General features: G+C 52.6%; 3 annotated features.

Annotated features, from left to right (window-relative positions):
- Nucleotides 5,583–5,862: an enhancer, noted in NCBI's record as "active region_14421". NCBI's record gives its function as "activates an Ori minimal core promoter by ATAC-STARR-seq in GM12878 lymphoblastoid cells {active_cell/tissue: GM12878}" and the evidence as "EXISTENCE:reporter gene assay evidence [ECO:0000049][PMID:35858748]".
- Nucleotides 12,346–12,505: a silencer, noted in NCBI's record as "silent region_10468". NCBI's record gives its function as "represses an Ori minimal core promoter by ATAC-STARR-seq in GM12878 lymphoblastoid cells {active_cell/tissue: GM12878}" and the evidence as "EXISTENCE:reporter gene assay evidence [ECO:0000049][PMID:35858748]".
- Nucleotides 12,536–13,305: a silencer, noted in NCBI's record as "silent region_10469". NCBI's record gives its function as "represses an Ori minimal core promoter by ATAC-STARR-seq in GM12878 lymphoblastoid cells {active_cell/tissue: GM12878}" and the evidence as "EXISTENCE:reporter gene assay evidence [ECO:0000049][PMID:35858748]".

The following is a 15,417-nucleotide window of genomic DNA, read 5'->3' on the forward strand; positions in this document are numbered from 1 at the left end:
ATTTCTTCACTGGGTTCTGGAGGCAGTTGACTCATGTGGGAAGCCGGCTCTGCCACTTCCCAGAGTGGTCTTGGGCTCTGTGCTTCATTTCTCCAAGCTTCGTGTTTCCCAGCTGTGACCTGAGGATGACAACATAGTGCTTCCCCCATGGAACCGAGGGGAGATGAAATGAGGTCACGCATAGATATGTTGAGCACAGCGCTTGGCACATTAAAGAGAAACAGCAAATGACAGCTGATCCCTCTTATTGCCACCACTGGGTTCACTGTCACTGAGCTAGGCTGTTCTGTGAAGGATTGAGCATTCTCTTTTCTTTTTCTTTTTCTTTTTTTGGGACGGAGTCTCGCTCTGTCTCCCAGGCTGGAGTGCAGCGGCATGATCTCGGCTTACTGCAACCTCTGCCTCACGGGTTCCAGCGATTCTCCTGCCTCAGCCTCCCGAGTAGCTGGGACTACAGGCGCCCGCCACCACGCCCGGCTAATTTTTTGTATTTTTAGCAGAGACAGGGTTTCACTGTGTTAGCCAGGATGGTCTCGATCTCCTGACCTCGTGATCCACCCGCCTCAGCCTCCCAAAGTGCTGGGATTACAGGCGTGAGCCACCGCGCCGGGCAATTTTTGTATTTTTAATAGAGAACGGGGTTTCGCCATGTTGGCCAGGCTGGGCTCGAACTCCTGACCTTAGGTGATCCGCCCACCTCAGCCTCCCAAAGTGATGGGATTACAGGCATAAGCCACCATGCCTGGCCAAGCATTTTCTTTTTTAAGAGAGAGGGTCTTGCTCTGTCATCAGGTTGGAGTGCCGTGGCACAATCATAGCTCACTGCAGCCTCGACCTCCTAGACCCAAGAGATCCTCCCGCCTCAGCTTCCAGAGTAGCTGGGACTACAGGTGCACACCACCATGCCCTACTAGTTTTAAGTTTTTTTTGTAGAGATGGGGGAATCTCACTATGTGGCCCAGGCACGCCTTGAACTCCTGGCCTCCAGTGGTCCTCCCGCCTTGGCCACCCAAAATGCTGTGGCTACAGGCGTGAGCCACTGTGCCCGGCTGAGTTTAGCACTGGGGACGTGTTCTAGCCCTACAGACAGCCCTGGTAGGGCACTGAGGTGGGGACTTACCGGCTGCCCTGTGTGCCTTGCGCAGCCCAGGGCACAGCAGTGAGGACTCCAGGAATGCCTGGGAGCTTGTGCAAGCGAGCCCTTAGCCTCCTTAGCCTCTCCCCTTGGGCCCGCCCCTGTGTCTTCTCCAGGCTTCCACCCCCCTCCCTCTCCCAACTTCCCAACTTGTCTTCCTTCTGTTTTTTGTTTTTTGTTTTTTTTTGAGATGGAGTCTCACTCTGTCACCCAGGCTGGAGTGCAGTGGCATAATCTCAGCTCACTCCAACCTCCACCTCTCAGGTTGAAGCCATTCTCCCCCACGTAGCTGGGACTATAGGCACACACCACCGCGCCCAGCTAATTTTTGTATTTTTAGTAGAGACGGAGTTTCATCATGTTGGTCAGGCTGGTCTCGAACTCCTGACGTCAAGTGATCTGCCTGCCTCAGCCTCCCAAAGTGTTGGGATTACGGTGTGAGCCATCGCACCCAGCCGCCACTTCTTTTCCTGGGCAGCCCCTTTGAAAGTGTCATCTACACTCACTGTCACTCCCTCTTGGACCCTCTCCAGTTGGCGTCGCCACACCACACAGTGCCCTCAACAAGGCCACCTAAGACCTCTGTGGGACAAATCTCACAGTATGCGTCTGCCTTCCTCTCCCAAGGCACCTCTGCCACACTTCGCTCTGCTGACCCCTCTTTCCCTCTGGAAACTTCAGTGCCAGCTCCCCCCCGCCCCCACGCACCAAGCATCATCCCTCCCAGGCAGCTCCTCTCTGCTCCAGCATAAGGTGGAGGACCCGCAGATTCATCCCGGCCACCGCCGCCCCCTTGACATTTGTCCCTGGGCAACCTCACCACCTGGAAGACTTTGCCACTGCCTCTGTGCCGGCCTCACCCAAGCAGGGGGTCTCTACCCCAATGAGGCCTGCCCTGGCTGCACACCTGAATGCCCACTTGCCTGCAGGGGGCCTCCACCTGCGCCCTTCACCACCTTCTAGAAAAACTCCTTATTTCACCTTCCATTGTTCATGCTATTACGAAAAATGGGAACTGGCAATACACAATCAACATGAAGGTGACTCAATCCGCAAGTCATCGGGGAAATGCAAAATAAAACAATGAGATAATTTCACAGCCACCAGGTTGGCAAAAATTTTAAAGTACAAAGAACAATACAAATGAATAGCTGTGGATCCATCATCCATATTTGCCTACTTGGCTTCATATCATGTTTTAAAGAAGAAATACAACATTTGAGTATGCAGCAGTTTGTCAAAAGAAAAAAACTAAAAAAGGAAATACAATATTGTAGACATAGATGAAGATCCCCTCATGTTCCTCCTCAGCTGAAACAACTCCCCAAGGTGGATGTATATGATGCCCATACATATTTTTAGACTTTTACCATTTATTTTTGGATCCAGAAGCAATAAATAGACTTATAGCAAATACTGCTTTGGGTGTTTAAAAAATTACCTACATTTGGTGGAAGGAAGAAAAAGAAATAGTAAAAAAACAAAAAAAGAAAAAAAGAAAATAAGTGGAATCAAACTTTACATATCACAATATCACTTGCTATTTTCTTTCAATGTTATTTTCTTTTCTTTCTTTCTTTCTTTTTTTTTTTTTTTTCTTTTTTGACATAGAGTCTCGCCCTGTTGCCTAGGCTGGAGTGCAGTGGCGCAATCTCAGCTCATTGCAACCTCCACCTACCAGGTTCAAGTGATTCTCCTGCCTCAGCCTCCTGAGTAGCTGGGACTACAGGTGCCCACCATCATGCCCAGCTAATTTTTGTATTTTTAGTGGAGACGGGGTTTTGCTATGTTGGCCAGGCTGGCCTCGAACTCTTTACCTCAGGTGATCTGCTTGCCTCAGTCTCCCAAAATGCTGGGATTACAGGTGTGAGCCACCGTGCCTGGCCTCAGTGTTATTTTCAAGATTTACCTATGTTGATCCACGTAGGGTTGAGTTTATTCTTTTGAAATGGTGGTAGAATTTTCCCCTGTGTGAATGTTCCACAATAGATATGCTCCCTGCCACCCTGGTCCACAAGTAGGTTTCTGATTTTTTCACCATCACAAACAGTGTTGCAATTGGCATCTTGTGCACATTGGTGCCACTTACCTGGATTCCTTTAGGGCACATTCCTAGATGTAGGATTGCCACGTCAAAGGGCGTGTGCCTGTGCACCTTAACTAGATGTGGTCAGTGACTTCCTCAAACTGCACCAATCTCCGCTTCCCGCCAGGGAGTGTGAGAGCTCCTGCCTCTCCACCCTTGCTCCAGTACTCAGTATCGTCAACTTCTCTTCCCATTAAAATTGCTAGTATTTAACTTTATTGGTTTTTCTCTGGCTATGAAAGTAAAGCTTGTTTGTTATAATAAATCAGAATACTACAAACACGTACAACATAGAAACTGATGATTCCCCAGAGATGCCGTTCTTAAGAGTTGGAGTGTTAAAACAGTGTACATTGCTCTAGAATTCTTTTCAATGCACACGCTAACACATGAGTGAATGAAAATATTTGCTGTTTTTCTACAGGGCGGTTTCATTCAGTTATATCATCACTAAGTAGTTTAAAATGCATATGCACATACAAACTCACTCCTTTTCTGTTGTTATTTCTCAGTGATGACTTGCCAATTGATTCCATTGCCTTCCTGGCACAAAATAGCTGCTCAGTAAATACCTGCTCCATGGATGGATGGATGGATGGATGGATGGATGGACGGACGCACGGATGGACGGACAGACAGACGGATGGATTGATGGACGAACGGACGGATGGATGGATTCTTACATTTATAGCCACTTTCTTACATTTTCATGCCCAGGAGACTATAGACTATCTTCTACTTGCAAAAGACCAAAAGATTGCATAAGATTAGAAAGCGAGACATTAACAGAAATTAATCAAGCCCCTGTCCAGGTTCTAGTCCTTTTTTGAGCAAAGGTGCCATACACCACGGAATCCCAGTTCCTGGCGGGGTTACCGGGGGCATGGCATCCAACAGCCCAGTCTGCAATGCACCATTAGACACACAGACAAATCCATCCCCTCTACTTTGGGGCAGCACTGTGATGAACCATCCTTGGGATACTGTCCCTTTTTTAAAAGGAAAAAAATCCAAAGTTAGTATGTTCCAGCAGTCACAGCCTGAGTCATCCATCCAGAAAGCTCTCTGTGCTCCTCTTGCTAAGCCCCTGAGTTATCTCTTGTTATAGACAAGTAATGAACATCCAAGCTCTGTAAGATGGTTACTTGGTCTGAAGCATTCCCTCCTTCTTAAAAAAAAAAAGTTTTATTTATTTTATTTTTTACATCTCTTATTATTTATTTATTTATTTTTTGGTAGAGATGGGCTCTCACTATGTGGCCCAGGCTGGTCTTGAACTCCTGGCCTCAAATGATCCTCCTGCCTCAGCCTCCCAAAGTGCTGGGATTACAGGTATGAGCCACCATACCCAGTCAGAAGGGTTGCCTTTGAAGTTCTGCATCTTCCATCCCTCTTCTAAGCTGTAGGGGATTCGCCCCAGCATTCAGGGCTAATGTAGAGGCTGCACGTTGGGGCCTGCAGGTCAGGTGGGTTGTGCTGGGGCTGCCGAGTCATTTCAAAACACTTGAGGCAATATTGAAAACCTGGAAAGTTCACATTCAGATACAGCTCCCCAGCTCTGGGCAGCCCTGCAGGCAGGGCATGTGGTCTGCAATATACCAGAATCCTCACCACCTCTACCACACCCTACGCTAAGGTCTCAGACTCCATTGCTGTTTACCTTCACAAACGCACTGCACATCTTCTTGGAGTAGACAAATATTTCTTGTAACTGTGACTATCAAAAGTGAGAAAACAGCTTTGAGTGCAGTGGCCCACATCTGTAATCCCAGCACTTTGGGAGGCTGATGCAGGAGGATCACTTAAGGACAGGAGTTCAAGACCAGCCTGGACAACATAGTGAGACACTGTCTCTACAAAAAAATTAAAAATTAGCCGGGCATGATGACTCATATCTGTAATCCCAGCACTTTGGTAGGCCGAGGAGGGCGGATCATTAGAGCCCAGGAGTTCGAGACCAGCCTAGGTGACATAGCAAGACCCCGTGTCTTTAAAAAACAAAACAAAAGTGAGAAAACTGTGTAGATCAAGAAGGTGGAGTGTTTCAAGAAGAATGGCAGAGAGGGAACATTTCTTCTAGAAATGCAGACTACTTGAGCATGTTTAATATTCAATACAAAGATGTCTTGGTGTCCAAAGACATCTTCTTTTATGGGCCTGGCTCCCATAGGCACCTGAGTTTGAGATTCCTGGATTTATAGGAGTCTCGGCTCTGACCCCAAGGTCCTGTGGGGCTTTCAGCTTGTCCCTTACTTACTATGGGCCTCAATTTCCTCATCTGCCCAATGAACACCATCTCTACTAAAAATACAAAAATTATCTGGGCATGGTGGTGCGTGCCTATAATCCAGCAACTCAGGAGGCTGAGGCAGGAGAATCACTTGAACCCAGGAAGTCAGAGGTTGCAGTGAGCTGAGATCTCACCACTGTACTCTAGCCTGGCGACAGAGTGAGACTCTGTCTCAAAAAAAAAAGTTGCTTTCTGTTTCTCTTCCAACTCTTGTCTTCCAGGTGGTGATGGAAGACTAGTTTGGGGATGTTTTCAGGTTTGCAATCATACTTCAGGGAACTCCCCTGCTTCCTGTCATGCAAAGGAGCTTTCATTTCTCTAGATGTCAGGGTGGGTGGGTGTGAGAGAGACAGTGGGCAGGACCAAAGTCAAACTAGCAAGCAGGTGGGCGAGAAGCTGCCAGGGGCAGAGAGAAGCCCGCAGCCTCCACCCCACACCTTACTTCTATTCCCTAGGCCTCCTGGTGATCCCTGAGGTGACCTTTGGCCCTCAGTCCCTCTAAGGCACATCAAGGCCGGAGGTGAGGCAGGTGTGATTCCAGGGCCGCTGCCGGGAAATAGTTCCCCCACACCCATCAAAGCCTGGTGCCTGAAAGGTAACTGGTTGTCTGGTGGCTCTGGAGAGAGAGATCCAAGGTGGGAAGGCGCTCAGGCCTCCCAAAAAAGCTTCCAGCACTGAGGCGGACTTTGCTCTTCCTTGAAGGGAACCCTGCACTGTGCTCCCGGGAAACCCCCTCTCTGATTCCACCACTGTGATGGAGAAAACTGAGGCTGCAGAAGAAAAATTGCAGCTGCAGAAGATGAGTGTACAGATCCCAGGAGTGATTTTTCCACACTGTTCATCTCCGTGCTATCCAGGGCAGCTGAAAAGGATGGCTCATCTGCGGCTTGAGATAGATGCAGACGTCAATAAGGAATTCACGGAAACACAAAAGGCGGGCTGGGTGGCTTTTATTAATTATATTTCTTCTATCTTCAAAACAATAACACATCAGTAATCTACGTTGAATGAGCCCAATTGATGCCAATGATTTCTTTTTTTCTTTCTCCTTTTTTTTTTTTTTTTTTTTGTGAGACAGGTTCTTGGTCTGTCGTCAAGGCTGGAGTGCAGTGGCACGATCTCAGCTCACTGCAACCTCCACCTCCCGGGTTCAAGTGATTCTCATGTCTCAGCCTCCTGAGTAGCTGGGATTACAGGCACCCGCCACCACACCCAGCTAATTTTTGTATTGTTAGTAGAGACAGGGTTTCACCATGTTGGCCAGGCTGGTCTCGAACTCCTGACCTCAGGTGATTCACCTGCCTCAGCCTCCCAAAGTGCAGGGATTACAGGCGTGAGCCACCATGTCCAGCAGTGATGCCAATGATTTTATCCTTTTGTTTCTGTTGGAGGGAAAAAAGAAAAAAGGTCTGTCTGCCCAAGCTAGTCAGCCCTCGCATGAGCCTGGAGATCAGCAAAGCCCTAGAAGCCCTTACCAGGGCCCCCTCACTGCCATTTTTGCATCCTGGCTCTCCCTGGCAATGCCCACAGCAGTCCTGCCTGGCAGTGCCCATCTGCTGTGTCCCCAGCCACCGTCCCCTCTCCTGCGTTCTTCTTTGCTATAGTCCCACGTAGAGGAGTTCTGACCTCAGTATTGAGTCCTCTCTTTGGGTGGAGGTAGAGGCAGGGTATGTGTGTATTGGGGGTCTGGGGGGCAGTGTTTAGAAACTGAGGACCCCTCTTGGTGCACCTCAAATCACATTCCTCACCTAACGGTTATTTCTGAAGAAAGAAAAGAAATAATCGGTTCTAGATTGCTTTCTTCCTACAATCCTTATCTATTATCATTAGATTTCACTGTTTGGCACACATTAGAAAAGGGTATGTGTACGGTGGGGCACACAGCAACGGCTGAAAGACTCACAGATTATTTGCCCGCTTCTGTCATCACTCTCCACCCCCAGATCCTAGGGTGAACTGTCAGGGATGGCATCGAACAGTTTCCAAACTTAAATGTGCTAAACCTCAGTATCCTTTCCTCCTCCTCCTCCGTGCCACCCCAGAACAGGCGGTGGCTGCACATCTGGCCCAGGAAAGAGGCACTGAGAAAAGCATTCAGGCAATATACAAATGAGAGAGACAGGTGCATACACCTGACATTTGTTATTATTTGGATACAAACGTCATTAGCATGTGAGCTTCAAACAGCCGCTAAAGTCTGGGCTCTGTGCAGCCTCCGCACCTAGATTTCACCAAAAGGCGCTTTCAGAATGGGGTTGGGATGACCTTTCCTGGACCCACTTCACCAGGTAGCCCTGGTTTGTGAAAATGACCTAGATAAGGCTGGGCGCAGTGGCTCACGCCTGTAATCTCAGAATTTTGGGAGGCCAACGTGGGTGGATCACTTGAGGCCAGGAGTTCGAGACTAGGCTGGCCAACATGGTGAAACCCCGTGTCTACTAAAAATACAAAAATTAGCTGGGCATGATGGCACACGCCTGTAGTCCCAGCTACTTGGGAGGCTGAGGCAGGAAAATCGCTTGAATCTGGGAGGTGGAAATTGCAGTAAGCTGAGATCGTGCCACTGCACTCCAGCCTGGGTGACAGAGTGAGACTCTGTCTCAAAGAAAAAAAAATGTCCTAATGGGGTCCCAACTCAGCCACCTCCACCTGCAACTCAGGCAGTTCTGGAATTTCCATGCAGGGGGCTCGAGGGTGACCTGCAATTAAAAATGGGGGTCACAGGCAGATACCCAGGATGAGTCTGCAACTGTGTGTTGACTGAGATAATTTGGAGCGAACCAATGGCGACAACAGAGGGTGTCAGAGTCCCCCCTACCCCCATCTCCCGCACTGCCAACCTTCTTCTCTTCCTTCTTCTCCTCAACCCCCACTGGGCTTTCTGCCCTCCAGACCACCTCCTCCCAGACACTAGGGGCTGATTTGCACAGCTGGTGGTCGAGGCCCCTCCTGGCATCCTTGGTGGATCCAACACTGAGTAAAGTTGCCGAGGCGAGTAGCGATGCTCTGGTGGAAGGCTCCACATGCACATTCACCCCGAACAGCTGCTGGAAACTGGCACACTCTGCTGCTGTAGAAATTATCAGCACTGCCACCTCAGCTCCTGGAGAAAGTCTCGGTGTGACAGCCTGCAAAGTAATCCTGCATTTGAATTTCACTGACAAATCCTGGCTTCCTCCAGACAAGCTCCAACCTGCACAGATGGCCCCTCGCATCAAAAAGTAAAAATAACAAAGCTTGCAATTCTGGGCCTCCCTTTTTCTCTGGGCAGATGTGCTGGCTGCACATTTCGGGAATCGCGCGGTCTGAGTTCCAGCAGCAACCTCTCTCCTCCTGTACGCTCGCACTCGCCCCTTCTGGCGTGCTGCTGGGGAGCGGCCGTGGCCCCTCCGAGTGTGTTCAGGGAAGTGTCTGGGATGCCTGAGCCTTTTGAGTGGGAGAGAAAGACCCAGAGGGGAGAGAGTGTGAAAATTCATCCCCCACTCAAGATTAGCCATGTTGTCATCCATAAGACAGCTGGCCCAGGGAAGGGGTTGCAGCGTTGGAGAAAGGTCTCAGGTAAGGTGGTCAGCAGAGGTGGGGGATGAGGGGCGGCTGCGCTAAGGGCCAGCCAGTGCATGCCAAGTGCAGGCGGCAGAGTGGGAGATGAAGCTCTAGAAGTTTCTGATTTTTTGCTTTTTTTTCCCCAATCAGATGCATCAGAAGGACTGATTTTCTTGCCCAGGCTCATCCTGAACTCCTGGCTCAAGCAATTCTGTCACCTTGGCCTCCCAAAATGCTGCGTTTACAGGCGTGTGCTCCTGATTTTTTTGAATCCCCCAAACCTTGACCAGCCACAGAATTCTCTCCACTCATATTTGCTGAGAACCTCTGGGGATATCCAGGCCCTAGGGATATGGTTATGGATGAGACAGACCCAGAGAGCACAGGCTCAGGGAACACACAGCCAAGGCCATCTGTGAGCTGGGTGGCCACAGACTCACTGCTCAGGAATGCCAGAGCAGGAGGCCAAGGGAGAGGCCAGAGACAGGGACCTGCAGCTGGCGACATTGCGGGAGCCACTTACCCGCAGGTAGGTTTCACCTTTGATGAGCCATCTGACCTGGAGCCACCAAGGCTCATCCAGAAATGGTGGCTAAAGTCTTTGCTCTACTAGAGGGTCAGATGAGATAAGATGTTCAGCTGCAAGGAAAAGACAACTCAAAGTGCCAGGAGAAAACAAGGAATTCATGGATTCGTATGAATGTATGGATTCAAACGAATGGCCCAGGGGCCTATCTAGCCTCAGGCATGGCTGGATCAGGGTGTTTACATTGCTGTCCTCAGGAATCCTTGCCTCAGCTCTGAAAGCTGACTGTGCCGACTTTGTTCTCCACGTGGCATTTGCCAGTAGAGAACAGTGTCTCCAGGCAGATATTCCTCCCAGCAAGTACCTCCTACCCAGACTCTCCAGCAAAAGTCCTGGGGATGCTTCTCATTGGTCCAGCTTGGGTCACATGCCCATCCCTTCTCTAATCACTGTGGCCAGAGGAATGCAGTGCTGTGATTAGCCAGGCATGTGTCAGGTGTCAGTCTCTGGGGCAGAGTTGGAATAGGTCCATCTGAACTACCTGGCTCTGCAGAAAAGGGGAAGGGATGCTGGGTTGGCAAAAGCAGCAAGTACAGAAACAATAAAGACTCTCCCAAAGCATGGGTGACTGCAGAGATGGGAGCATGCTCTGGAACAGCTGCAAAAATCCTGCTTCCCACAGCAGGATTCTTCTTGCTGCAGTTGTGTGGCCACTGTCATTCATCCCCTCAGCGTCTCTAATTCCAGCGTGCTGGCCTCTGTGCCAGGCCCGGGATATGGGGAAGGTTCCGCATGACCGTGTGGGGAAGCCTGCCTGCCACCTGGCCTCAGGGGTGGGAGCAGCCCCCTGGGGACTTTTCGCAGTTGAGGTCTGCCTCACCCCTAAGGCCCCTAGTTTCCCTCTCTGGTGTCTCTTAGATCTCCCTGTGTTTGGATTTCCATTTTCCTCTTCCTTAAACCAACACCGTAAGGTCCAACCTTCAGGACCCTGACCCTGGAGAGAAAAAAACAGAGACCAGGAAGGTCTTCACTAGCCAAAGCCCCAGGTCTGGGCTTCTCATGCACAAAGCCTCTGTCTGCCACCCACAAACCCATTCGGGGTAGAGTTGCCCTCTTGTAGTGGAATAAAGGACAAGTGTGGCCAAACTTGTTTGGCTCTTGGTCCTGGGCCGGGGGTGGAGGGGAGAAAACAGGCATTATCAGAGAAGGGCATGCTGAGGCTGGCCAGGGGGTATGTGAACTGGGAGGGGGCCAGCTGGGGAGCTCAGCTTCCAGGCCCCCACCCAGGCCTATGTCGCTGCTCTGATGTGTCTCAGTGAGTGCACCGGGCAAGACGCTGTTTGAAGGAGCTTCCGTGGAAACATCCATAAAACTAACCTTGAGGGAAGAACTGCCGCCCTGGCTTTACTCCTGTTTAGTCATTTCATTTTCTCACAATCCTATGGGGTGGGAATGATCACTGGCCCCATTTTAGAGAAGAGGAAACTGAGAAACAGGGAGGTCCTGCAACTTGCCCAAGGTCCCGCAACTTGCGCAAGGTCCCACATGGGGCCTGGCTTCAGGGCCTGTGACAAGACACTGCATGAGAAGCCCGGGGCTGGTTGATAGGACTTCTCATTAACCAGCTCATAGGACTCCCAAAATCCAACTGAGGGTTGGGGCCCAGTCATCAGCTTTTGGGGTTTCTGGCCCTGGGGTGGCCCTGGCCACATAGGCCTGCATAGGGCATGCGTTGCCCCGCTGAAGCTCGGCAGCTTAGCTCTTCTGCCGGGACAAGCGCTTCCTAGGAATTCTGAGCACTTCTGCCCCCTCCCAGGGGCCCCTCCCAGGCCTCCTCCGCCGCCAGTCCGGGCTGACAGCTTGGCTGGCCCCAGGCTGGGGCCGACTCTGAATGCGGCGCCTCCTGGTCACGCGGCATGGGCAGAGGAGGAGGAGGAAAAGGGAGAGGAAGAGGAGGAGGGGAGAGGAGGGAGGCCGGCCTGGGTAGAAGTCAGCTCCAGCTCCTGGAAGGAGCCCACGCGTGCTCTAGACGCCTTCCCTGCACGGGGCTCTGCCCATCCCCCACCTCTGGGAGGAGACAGGGTGGCCCCGGAGGAGGGGGCGGCAGTCCGGTGAGCAGCGACTTGGGGCCCGAGGCCCCGGCCAGTTCCATTCTCACCACGCCCGGCGGAAGCTATCGCCACGATTTGGGGAGGGCCGCCTCTGAGCCTCCTCTGGAGGCGGCACCTCTGCTACTCCATTGCACAAACGGGGAAACCAGCCCCGCCGAGCGTACCAGGCCAGGCCGGCCCTGAGGGGCAGGGGCAGGACGCCAGGAGCTGACCCCCAGCGTCCCCGACTGCCAGTGCCCCTGTCATGCAGGCCGAGGCCAAAGCACGAAGGGGCCTCGCTGCAAAAGGTCGGACCTGCGTTGCACCGGTTTCCAGCCAAGTGCTTTGGGCAAGTTTCTTAACCGCCTTGGCCTCCACTTTCCCCTTCTGTGAAATAGGATGGTGCCCACCTGACAGGGTTATCATGTTCCCTTGGGCAGGGCCTGGCAGGCTGAGCCAACGTCAGTGTTTGCGTGGCTAGTTTGGTTTTATTTTTTACGTATTGTTTTGGAGACAAGGTCTCTGTCACCCAGGCTGCAGTGCAGTGGTGCGATCAGCGCTCACTGCAGCTTCGAACTCCCAAGCTCAAGCGATCCTCCCACCTCAGCCTCCCAAGTAGCTGGGATTACAGGTGGGCACCATCACACCCAGCAACATTTTTTATTATTTTTTGTACCAATGAGATCTCCTGTGTTGCTCAGGCTGGTCTGGAACCCCTGGCCAACAGCGATCCTCCTGCCTTGGCCTCCCACAGCGCTGGCCTATTAACGTTTTAACAGAATGAACTGAGGCTCAGCTGGGCCAACGCGGACCCCGGCCTGCGCCCACGCCTCACCGGCTCCCCAGGGCCTGGGACCGGCACAGCCCGGGCTCAAGGGCTGGGACTGCCGCCCCGCCCTAGAGCTCAGGCTGCGCTCCACGTGCGCCGTGTTTACCCACGTGATGCGCTGCCCCGCCCCGCCCCGCCCCGCGTCTCCCCGCCCCGCGTCTCCCGCGCCGCGCGTCTGCAGCCTGGCCAAGGCGGATGCTGGGGGTTGGGGGCCCGAGCGCGGCCTCACGTCGCCCGGACGCCCCCCGCCCCACCCGGGAGACTGGAGCGAGCCACGGCCTCCCTGGGCGGGCTTGGCCCAGCCACTCCGCTGTGTCCGCGCTGCCAGGGCGCGGGAGCACTTCCGGGCGCGCGCCGCGGGAGGGGCAGGGCCGAAGAGGTGGGGGCGGGGCCGAAGAGTTAGGGGCGGGGCCGGAGAGGTAGGGGCGGGGCCGGAGAGGTAGGGGCGGGGCCGGAGAGGTAGGGGCGGGGCCGCCCCTTGCGGGGGGGTTCTGAGCGGCCCGCACCGCAAAAGGCGGTGTCAGGGCGGTGAGGGGCGGGGCCTGGCAATGCACAGGGGCTCTTAGGGGCCCGCACTGCGGGAGGGGCAGGGCCAGGGCGGTTGGTGGACTGGGCCTGGCTGTACGTAGGTGCTCTGAGAAGCCCCCGGCGAGAGGGGCGGGGCCAGAGCAACAGTGGGCGGGGACAGGCTGTGCGTCGGAGCTCCGCGGGGCCTGCGGCGGGGTGGGTGGGGCCAGGGCGGCGGTGGGCGGGCCGTGCTGTGCGTAGGGGCGCTGAGAGGCCCGCAATGTGAGAGGGGCGGGGCCGGAACAGCGGTGGACGGGGTCTGTAGTTCAACTGTGCCGTGGCGTCTTCTTCGCGGCGAGATCTGAGTGCCTCGCAGCAGCCGAAGGCGGGTTTGCAGGTTGCGTTGCGCTGGCCCTGCCCTCGGCAGGCAGAACGGGATAGAGCGCGGACAGGCGCCGTCACTCCCAGATTCCTCTGCGTCCATGGCAGAGCCACTCCTCCTTGGTACTCCTTCCTTGACCCACCGGGGCCCCCTTCCTGCTGTCTCTGCCCCTCTAGCTGCTGCCTCCAGGGGCTTAGGTCTCGGCCCCTTTGGCTTCTGGGCTGCCCCTGGCAGATCTCGTCCATCCTAGGTTTTAACGCCTACCTGCATGCGGATGATCCTGATAGTTCTAACAGTAGCTAAACTGTTTTCCACGTGCTTTCTGAACATTGATGCTGTTTGGACCCCTGACAGCCACATTTTTACGCCCCCGCGCAGCCCGCTGCTCTGAGCTCCGTATTCCCCGCCGGCCGGGTGTTCCACGGCCCTTCTGAGTCAACGTGTGTGCAGTGAAGTCCTTCTTCCTTCTCGTTTCACCCTGGGTCTCCTCCTCAGGGAGTGGCATCACGGTCTGCTCAGTGGCAGGCAAGCCCCAGATAGCGCTTCCGTCTTGACTCCTCACTCTCCTCCCTCTGATCTGTCCCAGAATCCCATCAGTTCTTCCTCCACCCCACCCGACCCACAATTCTCTGCTACACTTGTCTCCACGGCCCTGGTCTGAAACACATGATGCTTCACCTGGACTCGTAGGCGACCGATCTTTCTGCCTCTTGGCTTACTACTCTTAAGTCTCGCCTTCACGGGCAGTCGCAGGGATCTTTCTCAAGATCTAATTTCTAATGATTGCATTTTTCTTCTTTAAGCAGTAGGCTGAAAGCCAAAGCTCTCCATCTTTTTACAACTCAAAAAAAAAAAAACAAGGGTGCCCTCTGTCTGGCCTTGCCACTGTTCAACCTGGTACTTGCAAGTCTTGTCCAGTGCAATGGGATGAGAAAAGTGAGTGATAGAAGGATCGGAAGCAAAATGAAAGCACTGTTATTGTCAAGTGATGATCATCGACATAGAAAACAAGAATCAACAGAAAAATTAACCTAATGAGAGAGTTGCACAAAGGTAGTTTAAGGTCAGAATAGGGCCAGGTGTGGAGGCTCACGCCTGTAATCCCAACACTGTGGGAGGCTGAGGCAGGAGGATTGCATGAGGCCAGGAGTTCAAGACCAGCCTGGGCAACATAGTGAGACCCTCTTCTTTTTTTTTTTTCTTTTTTTTGAGACGGAGTCTTGCTCTGTCACGCAGGCTGGAGTGCAGTGGCACAATCTCAGCTCACTGCAAGCTCTGCCTCCCGGGTTCACACCATTCTCCTGCCTCAGCCTCCCGAGTTGCTGGGGCTACAGGCACCCGCCACCATGCCCAGCTAATTTTTTGTATTTTTAGTAGAGGCGGGGTTTCACCATGTTAGCCAGGATGGTGTCGATATCCTGACCTCGTGATCCGCCCACCTCGGCCTCCCATAGTGCTGGGATTACACGCGTGAGCCACCGCGCCCGGCCAACCCTCTTCTATTAAAGATCAGAGGCTGGGTGCGGTGGCTCACACCTGTAATCCCAGCACTTTGGGAGGCCAAGGAGGGCGGACCACTTGAGGTCAGGAGTTCGAAACCAGCCTGGCCAACGTGGTGAAACCCTATCTCTACTAAAAATACAAAAAATATTCGGGCATGGTGGCGTGTGCCTGTAATCCTGGCTACTGGGGAGGCTGAGGCAAGAGAATCGCTTGAACGTGGGATGCAGAGTTGCAGTGAGCCGAGATCACACCACTGCACTCCAGCCTGGGCTACAGAGTGAAACTCTGTCTCAATAATAATAATAATAAAGGTCAGAATATAAAGTCAGTAATGGGTTCCTCCCCAAAAATAATACACGTATTGTGAGTAATAAAAATAAGGTATTCTGCATGATACTGAAATATTTATGCATTAACCTAATAAAAAAATGCACAGAATCTTTAAGGAGAAAAACCTGAAATTCTAATATATAGATTTTGTTTAAAAAGGCTTGAATACATAAATAGTGAGATAATGTCTTAACCT

This window comes from Homo sapiens, chromosome 19, assembly GCF_000001405.40.
Source record: "Homo sapiens chromosome 19, GRCh38.p14 Primary Assembly".
Classification (NCBI taxonomy): domain Eukaryota; kingdom Metazoa; phylum Chordata; class Mammalia; order Primates; family Hominidae; genus Homo; species Homo sapiens.